The sequence below is a fragment of the Homo sapiens genome, chromosome 2 (assembly GCF_000001405.40).
Source record: "Homo sapiens chromosome 2, GRCh38.p14 Primary Assembly".
NCBI lineage: Eukaryota > Metazoa > Chordata > Mammalia > Primates > Hominidae > Homo > Homo sapiens.
The window spans coordinates 224870871-224887044 of NC_000002.12; the positions used below are offsets into that span (position 1 = coordinate 224870871).

At 38.7% G+C, this 16174-nt stretch overlaps 1 protein-coding gene across 23 annotated transcripts in view, besides 1 other annotated feature; it reads right to left on the reverse strand.

The window, feature by feature from the left end:
• DOCK10 (dedicator of cytokinesis 10) overlaps positions 1–16174 on the reverse strand; it is a 277379-nt gene that overhangs the window by 105781 nt on the left and 155424 nt on the right. For all 23 annotated transcript variants that reach the window (XM_047444930.1, XM_047444929.1, XM_047444922.1 and 20 more), the window contains exons 5-11: positions 15589–15661; positions 15193–15315; positions 14801–14935; positions 5168–5351; positions 3796–3881; positions 3396–3479; positions 3126–3281 (exon numbers count right to left, since the gene is read on the reverse strand). In XM_047444930.1, coding sequence (XP_047300886.1) covers positions 3126–3281; positions 3396–3479; positions 3796–3881; positions 5168–5351; positions 14801–14935; positions 15193–15315; positions 15589–15661 — 841 coding nt within the window. The remainder of the gene's footprint in view (positions 1–3125; positions 3282–3395; positions 3480–3795; positions 3882–5167; positions 5352–14800; positions 14936–15192; positions 15316–15588; positions 15662–16174) is intronic.
• Positions 15303–15352: an enhancer, noted in NCBI's record as "active region_17188". NCBI's record gives its function as "activates an Ori minimal core promoter by ATAC-STARR-seq in GM12878 lymphoblastoid cells {active_cell/tissue: GM12878}" and the evidence as "EXISTENCE:reporter gene assay evidence [ECO:0000049][PMID:35858748]".

Here is a 16174-nt window from a genome sequence, read left to right on the forward strand (position 1 = left end):
GGCTGGAGTGCAGTGGCATGATCTCGGCTTACTGCAACCTCCACCTCCTGGGTTCAGGCGATTCTTCTGCCTCAGCCTCCTAAGTAGCTGGGACTACAGGCGTGTGCCACTGTGTACAGCTAATTTTTGTATTTTTTGTAGAGACAAGGTTTTGCCATGTTGGACAGGCTGGTCTTGAACTCCTGACCTCAGGTGATCTGCCTGCCTTGGCCTCCCAAAGTGCTGGGATTACAGGTGTGAGCCACCGTGCCTGGCCGCCAAACTTGCATTTGAATCTGTCCCTAAGACATCTCTCTTTGGATATCTAATAGTACCAACAAGTGAAACATGTTCATAATGGTATTTTTGACCTGTATTGTGCAAATCTCCCTCCCGTGTTACCATTTTAGTAAATGGCATCACAATGTGTAAAACCGTCCAAAACAAAAACCAGTACTCACCCTTGAGATTTCTTTTTCCATTATCCAGTATATCCAATACATTAGGAAAGCTTATCAGCCCAATTTACAAAACACCAGTCCAATCCACCCATTTCTCTCCTTCTCCCTTGCCAGCCCTTGTTCAAGCCATGCAATAAACGGTGGTAGTAGCCTCCTAATTCTTCTTCTTGGACAACTCTTGTTTTTAAAGTGCTTTAAACCATTGAATAGCTTCCAATCACACTTAGGATAAATTCAAACTCTTTACTATGGCTTAAGGCCCTACATCATCTTATCTCTGTTTCTTCTACATCATCTTGGTATACCCTTCACCTCCCTAACTCTTTTCAGTTCCTAGAACTTGCTAAAGCTTACCTGTCTTGGTGCATTTGTACTTCTCTTTCTTCTGCCTAGAATGTTCTCCCCTGACCTGCCTTTTTATCCTTCCCAACCTTTAGGTCTCTGTTCAAAATCACCTCTGCCGAGAGGGCCTTCCATGACCATCCTGTCTAAAGTAACCCTTTCCTGAATTCCTCTGGAACACATCTCTCCATATTTATTTCTTTTAAAGAACTTTGCATAATGTGCACTTAAATTGTGAGTTTTCTTGTTTACTTTCTGCCGTTTTCAAAAAGAATCTAATCTTCAAGACACTAGGGACCTTGCTTATCTAGTTACTTCCTGTTTTCCCAGTTCTTAGGACAAGTTTGGCTCACAGTAGACACTTGGAATAAGTATATTTGGAGAATGAATAAACCTGACTTCAACTACTTTCATTTCTACTCACACCTAGTACACAGTCAAAGTTATAGAATATAAAACAGCTTCATTTTTTGACAAGATTCTTATTGGTGACACATTTCCATTTTAGCTTACCTGTCAACAAGAATCTCACATATATCAATACAAATATCAATAACTTGCATGCAGTTTTGATAAATTTCAATGCAATTTCTCACATATTTAGATGACAGTTAAGTATTTAACGAATGCTTACTTTGTACCAAGCAATGTCTGAGTACCTTTGATATGGTACCATGTGTAACCACAACAATCACTTGAAATAGGCATTGTTATTATCTCCATTTAAAGGAGTGAAGACTGACAGTAGGCCAGTTGCCCAGAGTGGCACAACTTGTGAGTTGGAGAGCCAGGCAATCTGATCCCAGAACGGCACATCTCATTTGAGTCTCCTCATTAAATCAGAGGTCCACAGCATGGACCTTATCCTGCTCTACACCTGGGGTAGGAGGCTCAAAGCAAATCACTGAGGTGCTAAAGACACAGGTCAGTAGGTATCAAGTAAAGTCTTCTGAAAGGGTTAATTCTTTCTGCCATCCACTCACTGTCACAACTAGCAAGGCTAGTTTCCCTGGATCATAAATGGATGAAGGCATGAGACTGTGTGGACCCAGTTTACAGTGAAAACTTAATGGGGTTTCTGCCTTCGAAAGCCAATGTGACTCCTATCAAGGATCTGGAAATCAGTTTTCCTCTTTGAGGTGAAAGATGACAATTGAGGGATGATGGATTAGAAATTTGAACAGAACGCATTAAAAAAGAATGAAAGAAGATATGCCAAAATATTAACTGTGCCTTATATTGATTAGGATATTAACATAATCAAGATTGATATAGAATTATGAGTGATTTTAAAAAATAATTCAACATTTAATAACGTTTATGCTCATAAAAAGTTCCCTTCCCACACATACATTAACAATCTAGTGGGACTGCCTGCTAAAGTACTAAGACGAAGTTTTCAAGAGAACTCACACAAATATCAGTGAAGCTCCTTTGTCATTTCTGATATTTACATGTCCCATCCTACTAGTATTTATTTAACATCCATCTAATATTACTTTACTTGATACACTGTTTAGTCTTGTCCTCAGCAATAATGGCTGGGAAGTCACAGGGTTTGTTAGCTTTGATTTTTCTCTAATACACATGAAAATAAACATAGAAATAGTAAAATAAAAATGTCCCTGTAAAAGCCATCTCTGGCCAGGTGTGGTAGCTCATGCCTGTAATCCCAGCACTTTGAGAGGTTGAGGCAGGCAGGTAGCTTGAGCCTAGGAGTTCTAAACCAGTCTGGCCATCATGGCAAAACCTCATCTGTATAAGAAATACAAAAAAATTAGCTAGGCGGCCATGGTGGTGCGTGCCTGTAGTCCATTACTTGGAAGGCTTAGGTGGAAGGATCGCTTGAGCCCTGGAAGCTGCGGCTGCACTGAGCTGAGGCTGCAGTGAGCCGAGACTGCGCAACTGCACTCCAGCCTGGGCAACAGAGCAAGACCATCTCAAAAAAAAAAAAAAAAAAAAAAAAAGCCATCTTGAGTACTACTAAGAGGATACACACAATGCCATAGGAAACTCTAAACCACTGTGCTGATTTCATAGAATCCCCAAACACAGTCCTTTAATGCTTTTTCTTTAAGTTAAAAGGAAAATTTTATGGCAGTATATTGATAAAGTATAGTATATTAATATTTTATTAGGCTTTATTCATACAGTATATTATAAAGTGTTCCACTTTAGAACTTGTACACTTGTGTAATGTGGGAAAAGGCTGTTAATAATATTCCCTGGTACACTAGAGAGTGAGAAATCAGTGCCTGGAATTAGCAGGAATAGAAAAGATTTTTGACTAGGGTGGTGTAATGTTGGCTTAATGGTATAGGATGTAACAGAGGAGAAACTTACATTCGTTATCGGATCATTTTCATTCTCCGTAACACATCCCTGAAGATTTGAGTTGAGGGCTTTACAGATGATCATGATTCTCTTGGCAGCTTTTTCTTCAAATGGTTTGATCACAGACTCAGGTTCCAAGAGATCTTTTTTTTGAAGTTTCAAGGTCTAAAAAAGTTTTGAATGAGTCACCAAACATCCAACATAAAAAAGAAATTCTAAATTATAATCCCCAACTGTATGGATCAAGTTCATATCTGCTTAGAAAAAATTTTGACTTACATCTATGTCTGGATCTAGAGAGAACAGATTTAGCCTCTCCATGTTTCGAGTTGTTTTTACAGTATCTTCTGTTTCTGTGAGGTACTACAGAGAAAATTGTGTTAGTCCTTGGTATCTAAATATCCAGATACAGCCCCTGACACATCCACATGGCCAAGAAGCAGCCCCTTAGTATTATCACCATTTTAGTATTACCCATTAACACTTGGCAAATCTTGTAAAAGTATGTTTCCTTTTTGAGCCCTATGTGTATGTTAATGAAAACACATAGGTTAACGGGAAGTTCCAAATTAGCTTCTTGGTCTAAATCTTAAAAGAAAGCATTTACGTCTTTTCCATGAAAGCAATAACTAACAAATAATTCAAATTGGTTTTGCAAGTACAATGCCAACTTTATTACCTTTGCAAAGTCTGCGTGTAGGTTGTTCTCTGAAGAATCTGTTTCCTCTGGCGTGCATTCACAAGTTACAGAATTATCCAGCGAATCTTAAAAAGATATACCAAGTCAGGTTATTAAATATTACTCACGAGTCACACATTCTTCTAGCCTGTGACATGCAAAACTAAGTTAGGCTTAAGAGCTAAGAGGGACGTTGGTGAGCCTAAGCTTTCATTGTGTTCTGACTCCTGAACTCCACATTGTTGAGTGATCTGGGCCTGGAAATCAGACCCTCTGATGATCATTTTGGGATTCTTGCTATGATACCATCTTGTGTCCACAAGAACTTTGGATTTTTACACTACATTTATACTTGGGGTTGTCTTGACTTACTTCATTAATGCATACTAAAGTTTTCTTAAATATGTATGTATTTTTGGTAATTCTGGCTCTCAGGCTATCAATTTAGAATCCACCTTCTTGCTTCAGCTACTTAAACTCTGTAAGACACTGTAAACATTAATACTATCGTTGTTATTATTAAGGAAATCCTAAGTGTAAAACACCTACTATGGCATACAGTAGTTGTGTTAAAATCAACAAAATCAGCAATAGTTTTTTTCCATATTACTCCATGGCTCTTTCACTCTACAGCCTGAGACTTAGACTAGGGGAACTTAAAGATGCTTTGGTTTCTAATGTACCATGTGCTATGCAAAATGTCTGAAAATAGTTTTGTTTTGGGAGGAGTGACTGACTTTGCTGGTGTTGAACTTGCCTTCTATGTAGCTACAGACTTGCTTTTCTAACCTTTTCACCTTTTCTTTCCTCTCTCTTGTTCCCTTCTCTTTGCATAAAATGAAGTAGACCCTTATGAAGGAATTAGGATGGGGAGAAAAAAAATTTAATTTTATAAAAATTCTATCACCATGTATAATTTTTGAAACTTTCACATATAAGATGATCACAGTATGATCAAAAAGCAGAAATGAAAGATGCTTTTTCACTAAAAGGAAGGAATTCATATTTGCCTTTACAGAGCATAAGATTCATTAATTAAATTTAATGAAAGGCTAAAATACCACAAAATGCCCCCTATAAGGTAATGTCCCATTGGACATGAGCACATTTTGGATGCTGTGACAAATGATTCCCAACATCATTTGCTGGGGGAAAGCCTCAGATCGTTGCCAGTTGACTCTGAATTGTACTTATGTGTGGTGGCCATTACTGTGCAGTAAAGATTTAGGAGTGATTTAGTGATTCTTGGAACAAACAGCCCCAGGATGGATGAGCTAGACCAGACAGCAACTACAATGCCTAGCAGCTTTAGTGAACCAAAAACACAGGTCACACTGGACAAAGGAAGGAAGACGGCTTCATATGCTCTCACCCAGACCCAGATCAGTGAGCTCTGTGCTCCTCCTCCCTTGGAGGGGCCCCTCAGGACTGATTTGCAGAATGCGGTTGAGGGTGTGGATCCATTCATCCATATCTGACTCTGTTTCAGCTGCCAGCACAAAATAGGTCAGATCATTCATTTTCAATTCAAAGGCATATTTTCTTAGTCTGTTATTCTGTGGTATAAAAAGAAAGAAAGAAAAAGAGAATACCAAAAAATAAGCCTTCGAGAGAGAGATCATTTATGTGGGCTTGAGGTTCCAAAAGTCTTTCCATACAGATAGATAACATAAAGAAAATTTTCCAGAACAAGACAAAATTTTAGATGGGTCTGATCATTTTGTTTGATTTCTTTCAAAGCTTTTTGTACTAAGAAATATCTTATTTAGGGTTTTGTTGATTGGATGGACACGTTAGCTTGAACATTTCATCACGGGCATGTGCTTGAGTATATTCTTAACTCCTTGTAAGAGTTTCTTTGAGTTTCTGCCTTGACTTTCTCACCTTATATTCTGTGATTCATTCCAGGTGGGCGTCTGACCCTATCGCATCCCAGAGGCAGCTCTTACCAAGGTCACTAACAGGCCCTATGTTGCCATACTATCTTAAGGACTATTTCTTTCTTCGTATCTTCCTTGTCCTTGCAGCAGAATTAACACAATGGCCACTTCCTCCTTTCTGAAACTCACCTTCCTTCAGTTGCCACGAGCACACTCTATTCTGAGTGTGGCTGCCTTTTTTCGATCTCCTCTGCCAGCTGTTCCTTCTTCTCATGACCTCTAGTGAGAATCCTGGCTATGCCTCAGACTCCTTTCTCTCCTTTATTTCTCATCTATTCCAATGGCTTCAAACGACATCCATGTGCAGTGACATCCCAATTCCTTTCCTGGCTCTGGCTTCACCAACCTCCAGATTCTTCTCTAGCTTGACATCTCTACTTTGCATTTTGTGACCAACCCACAAAGCCTTTTTCTAGTTCCCGAATGTGTTCCTGTCATGTTCTTATTGCTGCCACAAGGAAGGCCTGAGACAGGCTGGCCCCCTCCACCACACATGCGCTCAAAAGCATAGTGAGCATGGTGTGTGCCCCCATGTACTTATATGATTTGTATCCACTCTTCAGATCTCAATTGAAACTTTCCTCAATTTTCCAGTCTAGGACAAAGGGACAAAGTTCTTGTCCTCCAGAGCACTTACCATGATTTGAAATTATCTGCTTATCCATTTTTGTTTGTTTTGACAAATACATGTCTCCCTTAAGGCTACCTCCATGAGGACTGGGTCAGTTTTCCTAACCACCATATCATGTAATAGTACGGACACTTGAAGGATTCAATAGTGGTGGGTTCAAAACCAGTCATATTTTATGAATGGAACATAATAGGTTCCTATTCTATTGGAATAGGTTCCTATTCTATTGGAATAGGTTCCTATTCTATTGGAATAGGTTCCTATTCCAAGTTGACATTCTAGTAGAGAAGAGGTGAATGGATGAATAATTGAAGGAATGAACAAACAATTGAAAAACAAAGGTTCTCCATTGTGCAGAGAACTAAAATAAGCCAGTGTGATGAGTAGGTACTTTAGATTGGGTGGTCAGAAGCAGGCCTTTCCCCAAAGAAGATCTCTGATTTGAAATCTGTAGAAAGGAGAAATGGGCTATTGAAAGTTCAGGGAAGGACATTTAAAGCGGGGGAACCCAAGAACAAATTGTTACAATTTTATATATTCCTGGTATGAGATTGGAACATACATTCAAAGTGGAAACTTTCCCCTAGTGACACAAACTAGTGTTATTTAAGGGGGTGGTTGTTGGAAAGATTACTGAAGATACTTCATCTTTGATTTACTCCAGGCAATTCCTATACCGGTGTCCAGCTTTTATCAATATGTTCTAAAACCTGTAGCTTACTCATAATTGTAATAGAGCAAACCCTAACACTTAGGACAACTCTATTAAGTAGAATACAAATAAGAGAAGAGCCATAAAATGAGATCAATAGTGTGGGATTGTGGCTAAATAACAAGGTATAAAATTCTTTTGGGGAACAGGATTGCTATTTCTTGGTGACAAGCAAAAATTTCTAATACCCCTCCGGCAATGTTCTCTTTCTTTGGGATACTCTCACAGACTGTCCCCAGATAGCTGTTTCTTTCAACAATCACAACAACAAGATTACTAGTGCAAACACAACAATTACTAAATACTGGCTCTGTACTTTATGGTCATTATTTAATTTAAATGTCATAACAACCCTGTGGGACCAATCACATTATTCCATTTCACATGTAGTGAAACTGAGTTTTGGGGAGATTAATTAAAATGTGTTTGGGATTATATTGATAGCAAATGGTAGAGAAGGGAAAATAAGCCCTATATACTCTAACAACTGTGCTCCTAATCCCACCCACTGAGCTGCCTTATGCATTGCACAGAGCCAGGGACACAGAAGATGCTCAGCTGATGCTGGTCTCCTTACTTGACATTGCCCCGGCACAACAAAGGGGCATCTGTGGCCTGGGAGTTGTGGTTTCTCTCAGTGCTCAAGAACACATAGTGGGGCAACACATAGTCTTGAGAAAAAGTAAAGTTCAGGAACCAAAGGAGAAAGAATTGGCTAAAATGCTAACTATGGTTCTCATGTGGAAATTCACAGCTCAAACATCACTTTCTAGACTTCCAAGGATGAGCCCTTTGCTCCTGTCCATACTTTTGTATTACCATCAAGTATTATTTATTTCTTTGCCTTATAATGGCAGTCCCAGGCCTGGCTCTTTATAGTCCACAAGTCTTAGAAGGGCAGAACCTAAATTTGTATCCTCAGTGCTAAGTGCAGCGATATAATTGACTATCAAAGAGATATCTGTTGTGTTCATACTTTGTGTTGGACAAAAACATAGCCAGTCCCTGCTCTTGCAGAATAGGAATGACAGGCATTAAGCAATTAATCAGACAAATGTGAAATCAGAAAACAAATATATTTAAATTTTGTACAAATGTTTTGAAAAAGAGGTACTGGGTTCTATGAGAACATAGAATAGAAGTATGTGGACAAGTAAAAGGTCAGAGTTGCATTTTGAAAAAATCATTTTGACTGCAGTGTAAACAAAGTGGAGGGTACTCAGAAAGCCCATGGCCTCAAACTTCAGTGTGCAAAGCAAACATCTAGGCAGCTTCCTTCCGAAGGCAAATTCCTAGACGCCCCACTCTCCCCAGGAGGACTGGGGTAGATGTCCTCCACGTGTCCTCACACACAGCTCTGGGATGTTCTGACGAAGAAGGGCTACAAAATCACCTGCGACCTTCACTGATGGACAGTCTAAGGGCAAAGACAAGATGGCTGCAGAGCAGGTATAAAAGGAAAGACAGGTGTTCTATCACAGCACAATTTCCTTCAAAAAAACAACAGGAATAGAAATAGACACTCAGGGCTGGGCGTAGTGTCTCACTCCTGTAATCCCAGCGCTTTAGGAGGCCAAGGCGGGCAGCTCACTTGAGGCCAGGAGTTTAAGACCAGCCTGGACAACATGGTGAAACCCTGTCTCTACTAAAAATACAAAAATTAGCTGGGCATGGTGGTGCATGCCTGTATTCCCAGCTATTTGGGAGGCTGAGGCAGGAAAGTTACTTGAACCCAGGAGGTAGAGGTTGCAGTGAGCCGAAATTGCACCACTGCACTCCCAGCCTGGGTGACAGAGCGAGTCTCTGTCTCAAAATAAAAAAAAAAATTAAAAAAGAAAGAAATAGACACTCATAAAAGAACTGTAAATGTCCAGAGTTTGGTGCACAACTTTTGCAAGGACATTTTTAAGTATTTGATTATAGAAAAATGCAAGCAAATCTCAGTGTTATCTTGAAAACAAACAAATGAAAGAATTTGAGTGATGAATTTGATGCTGCAAATAATGTTAAAAGGGAGATAAAAAGCAACCTAAAATGCTTATATTGGGTCCAAATTAAAGGTGGATTGAGTTGCAACCTGCTTTCGAATGAAGATGCCGAACACTAACAAAATTTTGAAATGAAACATTACAAAATATAAACGAGTTGATTTGATTGTCTAAACTGCATTCAGTACTTCAAATGAATTAAATATGATTGCCGGCTTCAACAATATAATCACAAATATTCTTAAAAATTTGAGCAAAGTATTACAATCTTGTTTCTCAAAAAGGGACATTTATAATTAAAATAAATATTCGATTTGAAATGTCTCAAGAACTAAATTACCTTCTTCTATTTCAAGAGAAATAGAACCATTTGCAGCCCAGAGAAGCTTATGTTGGGAAAGATTAAGATGTCTGAGTGGTTTTCGATCTTGCTGTCTGTAATCTCAAAGATAATGTCATATAGAATAGCAAAAAGGGCAAAAATTGAAAATCAATGGGATATTTCAATAGGAAGTTTTAATAATTTTGAAGTATGATTGTTAAGTCATTAAAATGGTAATCAAGAAGTAATCATATTCTTGTTTTTGCTCCCCCAAATTTTCCTCTATTTCTCATATATCAGTGTCCTTTGCAGCCAGTGCAACTACTTTGTTCAGTCAACCTTACCATAGTATATTTACATGACTTCATAAATAGTAGGAACCTGTGAATATGTCTTATTGTCATGATATGTTTAGTGAGTTGTGGCAAACTGTTCTGCTTCCACAATGTTCATCTGAAAAAGTTCCAAACTGTAGATACTCCAAGAAAATCACTCAAGCCAATGGTGGACTGAATATCAAAGAGGGAAGCTACCCAAATCAAATATTTAATTATACCTATTATGTGGCTAGTATCTTGTATAGAATTTTGCAGGAACAAAAGAAGAGTCTTAAGGGAATCATACAACATCAAATCCAGGTTTCTGGTATCGATGGCTCCCTTCCATGAAATCCTCTCCACTCTCTGTAGGTTTATTTGTTCATTCATTCAGTGAAAATTAAATGGGTACCTCCTATGTTTCAGTCACACAGAACTGAAAAAATTCAAGTAAAGTGCTTTCCCTCATTGAACTTACCTTCTAGTGTAATGAAATGTCAGTAAGCAAATAAGCAGAAAGACAACATATGTAACATATATATACACATATATGTATATAATAGGTGTGTAATATGATATGGCATCATGCAGTGATAAATGTAATTTCATTCTTGCATATGTTATCAGGACTTATTGCTTGAAGTGTGTTACTTGTTTTCTTTGCATGTACCATATTTGTTTTGTTTTTTTTTCTGTGCATCCTTCCCACATCCTGGAAGCTTTTTGAAGACATGAGCCACACCTATTTTCAGAGTTTGCTCTTTTCACAATGGTTTGCACATTGCAAGTTTTCCAATATATACTAGTATTTGCTGAAATGAATCCCATATCTAAAATTCACTGCTTAAAGCTCCACATGAACATATCTTTGTAGTGTTTTTTCTGCCCACATAGCTTATGTAGGTAGAATAAATGTATGTATGTGGGTATGCCTACTTTACATATGATAATACATCATTTCTTTGGGCATCTGTCTGTAATTTTGGACATTCCTCTGCCTCAAGTTAAACTTTGCAATTCATTAGCTCTGTGACCTGTGAAAGACACTCTACCTCTCTGAATTTTATTTTAATAAATGGAACAATCATAGTTCATGTTCCATCAAGTGCTGTCAAATAATATATTAGATGAAGAAAACCACAAGTATAATTTTGGTTCTTATTGTTCTCGGAAGTGAGATTTTCAGAACTTGAGTTGCTAATGCGAGGCTTACGGGTCATATTTGGCTTCTAGATTTGTTTTCCTTGTAATGTTCTTTCCCCTGCTCCCAATATGACTTGCTTTCTGTAGGCAGGCATTCTCCACGTCTACATAGTCCAAGCTGCATCTGTTTCTCACACCTGGCCTCTCTTCATGCATGCAGGGGGCTGCTTGACCTACAGGAGGTATCTGCATTTCTAGCCTTTGGTTAGTCACATGAAGCCACTGTCTTGGAACCCATATCCACATGGTGGCAGACTCAAGGAAATGAGCCTTGTCCACCACACTGTCCACACCCATGTAAGCCTGTCTAAAGTGACATCAGCTTATTATCATTGCTGAGATAGGGACCTAAAACAGATGAGATTCTTGGGCTGTTCATTCTCTTCTACAGTGGCAGAACCTGGAATGAATGGATGGATAGATGAATGAATGTGAGAATGAATGAATGAATACATGAACTGAAGGAACAAGATAGGATAACACAGGCCTAAATATCTCTTAGTCCCAGAAGAAAAAACTTGAAGCAGCAAAAACCAAGTTCTTTTCCAGATTGGGAGCATAGGCCCATAAAAAATATCTAATACTCTTTGATGATATTATGAAAAAATAGAAAACCATGATTAGGCTTTGTTTTGTTTTGTGTTTTTTTTGGCCAAGATTCAGGAAATTGTCAGTCATAAACATTACCTAAAGTCTCTGAGAAAGCTGGGAAGGAGTTTCTCTCTACTTGAGCCACCCTTGTAATATACGTCTAAGAATTCCAAAGTATTCTAAGGAAAACGATGATATGGATTAAGTCTGAATGAATCAAACTGAAATGGCATATTCACTAAAGATTATAATGAACTTGAACTCCCTAAGAATGCTGGATGCTAAGTAGTACTTTCTGAGGCAGAGACGTTGTTCCTCTTTTTTGTTTGATTCAACGGAACCTGGCAATGATTCTTCATAAAACTGGTCTGATTCATCCTAGTTATTCATTTGCTCTGTGCTTTTGTGTGTACATGATTCATCTTCAGGCACATTTCATGCCTGAGAGCTTACTAGAACTATGGTTAAACTGGCACTATTTCACTCAAATTCTCTCCAGATGTAAAAACTTACACATCTGGAAGAACTATAAGCAAATATGTAAGAACTGGGACCCACACACAAAGTGACAAGTGACCCAGGTTTTGTCTCCCCAGAGTGATCCCAAGAAACTGGTCCCTGCCTCTACAAAGGATGTAGAGAATACTGGATAAAGCTTCTTGATGAAGAGGAATATAAATGCAGGGATAGAGGTGAACTCTTTAAAAGATACATATGCCAAATCTACCTTGGGGAATATTATAGACAGGCCCAGCTTTTTCTGTACAGACTTACAGCCTGAGCTGAAAGAGTTCATCATTGTTTCATGTTCCCAGAGCATTCCATGGTCTCTGCCATTCATACCTCCATCATCGCTCTCGAGATATCGTGTGATAGTGAGCAAGTAGCGATGCCCCTCTCTGATTCTGACTTCAATAAAGAATTGACTTCCCCACACCTGGGTGTAGTTTCTAGCATGTCATAGGCACTAAGTGGGTTTGTTGAATGAATCAGTAGGTTAATGAATAAATAAAGACATAGATAAATTAACACACTTAGGAAAAAATATCCGGAACGTAAATCAAGGTTTTCTAGGAAGACTTTCCCATAATGGAATGTCTATATCCTAGGTTGTGACCTTTGAAATTAATGGAAGAATTAGGGGAGAAAGGCTAAATACACTATCTCCCAGTTCTTTTCACATATTAGCACATTGTTCTAGTTTTACAGATGAGGAACCTGAGATCAAATTGGTCAAGTAACTTACTCAAAGTCTTTGGGTAGTAAATGGTAAAACTAGGATTTGAATGCGGACTTGCATGAATCCCAAGCTTGTGTTTTCCCTTCAATACTCCTTTTTTTCCATGACAATGTTTAAGCAGAGACTGAAACACAATCTAAGTAAGAGATGATGGAGAAGCAGTTCCTCCATAGGAAGGTCAGATTAGAGCAATAAGTTCTATGATTCTTTGAAGAAGAAAAATATTGCATATTAACCTGGGTTTCTGCAAACTTAATATATAACAAAAGACTACAATGGTACTTCTTAAAAAATGATGACTCATTTGCTAGAGAAAGCTTTCAAGTACAAATGGAAAGGATAATATTTAACATTTTCTGCTCAATGTCTATAAAATGCAGTTATTGATCTTTACTGCTAACGTTTTACTTCATGTTTCTAAGGCCAAAAGGTGTCCTTTGTGACCAACAGTAGAAAATAGCCTCCACCCTCCATTAAGGTCATTATTGCCCTTTCCATATGGAAAGCTGGCATCTGTGTTAAAATGCAATTATCTTTCACTTGCAGCAGAGTGCTCAGAAACAGTTAATTTTTTCCTTTTAAAGTTCAGCTTTATTACTTCCTGGAAGAATTCCAGATTTTAACAGATAAACCATCCAGAAATAGGCCGGGACTAAATGACTGGAGAGAACTCTACTTGCATCCACATATCCAAGGGCCTCCAGGAGTGGTCTGTGATGTAATTTCAGCTCGTAACAAGCTAGGTGAATGCTGAGGTTTGAGGGTAACAGAAAGTACTTCTCTACTGGCCTGTGACCAGAAATAGAGTCCTGGACCTCAGTGAGCCAGTGCCATTGTGAAATTTGAGGGAAGGTTGCTAAAACACTTTTGATTGCTCCCATGATTACATAAAAGGGAATAAGGTCAGTTATTTCATCAGAGTAGGAAGCAGCGATTCGAAAGCCAAATGTCCAAATGGGGTCTATGGAATTATTCTGCTTCCCTTTGCCACAGTGGCCCGTGCTGAATTTCATACTAAGGACAATAATTTGAAGACCAAGAGCTTATAGAGAACATTATTTGTTAAAAGCACTATGTCTGCTTCTGAAATTAGACTCTCTGGAATCAGTGGAATCCTTGTCTTTGAAGACAGCCACCTCTTAGAAGAAAGATGCTGCATATGTACACTGTCAACTTACTCTATCATTATTACTTAATTATAAAATAACATATTTGAAGTGCGTATGTTAATACCATGTCATTTGCATATTATTTTACTGAATTTCATTATCTCAGGGGTTCTCTACATGGCAGCAAACATGGGTGCTAATTATCTGCTTGTCTTTGAATATCTGAGACTTGCCCCTGCCGCAGGGCCTTTGAACTTGCTGCCTTTGCTTATTCTTTTTTTGTTGTTTGTTTGTTTTTTGAGACAGAGTCTCTCTCTGTCACCCAGTCTGGAGTGCAGTGGCACGATCTCGGCTCACTGCAACCTCCGCCTCCTGGGTTCAAGTGATTCTCCTGCCTTAGCCTCCCCAGTAGCTGGGATTACAGGCCTGTGCCACCGCATCTGGCTAATTTTTGTATTTTTAGTAGAGATGGGGTTTCACCATGTTGGCCTAGCTAGTCTCCAACTCCTGACCTCAAGTGATCCACCCGCCTTGGCCTCCCAAAGTGTTGGGATTACAGGTGTGAGCCCCTGCGCCTGGCCCTCTGCTCATTCTTTGGTCTGTAGATCAAATGATCTCTCTTCAAAAATGCTCTTCTCCCTTATTGAGTATTAATATTCCTTTTCAACCTCACCACTCTTCTGTCTCCCTTTTGTTTCTCTGTTTATTTTCTTTATTGAAAAATTTACCAGCTGATTCCATTCTGCTTATTCATGTCTTTGCTTAATTCCTGTTTTTCTTTCTCTCTGGAAAGTAAGATTTGTGAAAGTAGAGATCCAGGCTGCCTTGTTTTTCACAGAATTCTTAGAATCTAGAGCAGCTCTTGGCTCATATCAGATACTCCATGAATATTTGTTAAATATACTTTTCAAATAAAAAAAAATCCCAAGGAGGAAAAGGGATGTCTACTCACCTGCACCACTCCTGTACAGGAATCCAAAAAGATGCATCCTTTGGGTTCTTTGGATATTTTCTCATCTTTGTAAAAGTTCATAATGTAGGAGTTATCTGGTAACTGAGTCAGCTGGAAGTAGCGCTTTTTGAATGACTAAATAAAGGAAAAGATATAAGGAGATATTCAAATTGTAATGTGCTATTACTCATAGAAATTAGAATTATTCTAATTCCTTCAGGAGTGCTATATTTCTAGGACATTTTTCTAGAGAAGAGCATCCTACTTCCTCATAAATAAAATATTATATGAAACATAAACTCAATGCAAATGGCTCTCTTCTGTGCTGTGACCAGAGGAGGGAGTGTTAAGAAGGGTGACAGAGATAAAGATGAGTCTTGATATCTCCTTACCCGAACAGTAACGGTGTTGTTCACGGTGCTGTTAAAATTCCCCTTGTAGAGCCAGCCGGACTTGAAAACACCAGTTCCTCCCGCTCCTCCACCCCCCTTGGAAGACGAGTGGGAAGTGGTATCCTGTAGGAAAGGCATAGTAGCATGACAGCCATCTTTTGTGGATCCTAGATCCTAGACACTGCATTTAAAAAAGAGACTCCTCTTCCTCTCTTTGACTCATCTTAAATAAGCATGTTCAATTTCAAAACAAACGTGACTCATTTTGACTAAAAGCCCTACCACCAACAGCTACTACAGCTTACAACAAACCGGTCAGAACTCGAAACTTTCAGTGCAAGACAGAAACTAATTATCCTCATGTTTTAAACATCTCACTTTCAACTATTTACTTACTTCATCCTTATCAGCATCTTCATGGTCAATCTCAAAGGAATGTGAAGGAAGCTTCTCTGGTTTGTATTCTGCTCTGATATTAAAAAAAAAAAAAGATTCTGATTTGTCATTGGAGACAGCTTTCATTTTAAGTTGCTCCCCAGGTAACAATAACAACTATGGTGCTGGTGTTCTTACAAATTTCTGTAAAATAATGTAATCTTTTGAGTGTCTCATTTCCTTTGAAAGTATTAACTTTCCTCTGCCATGATATCTTATCTCCAGTATATAAATCTCTATTTTAAACCATGGAGTTACTAATTATATATATATATTTGAGACAGTCTCACTCTGTCGCTCAGGCTAAAGTGCAGTGGCATGATCTCGGCTCACTGCAACCTCCACCTCCCGGGTTGAAGCGATTCTCATGCTGCATGCAGCACCCCCAACACCCCCCCAAGTAGTACCTGGGATTACAGGCATGTACCACCATTTTTGTATTTTTTGTGGGGATGGGGTTTTGTGATGTTGGTCAGGCTGGTCTTGAACTCCTGGCCTCAAACTATCCTCCCACCTCAGTCTCCCAAAGTGCTGGAATTATAGGCAT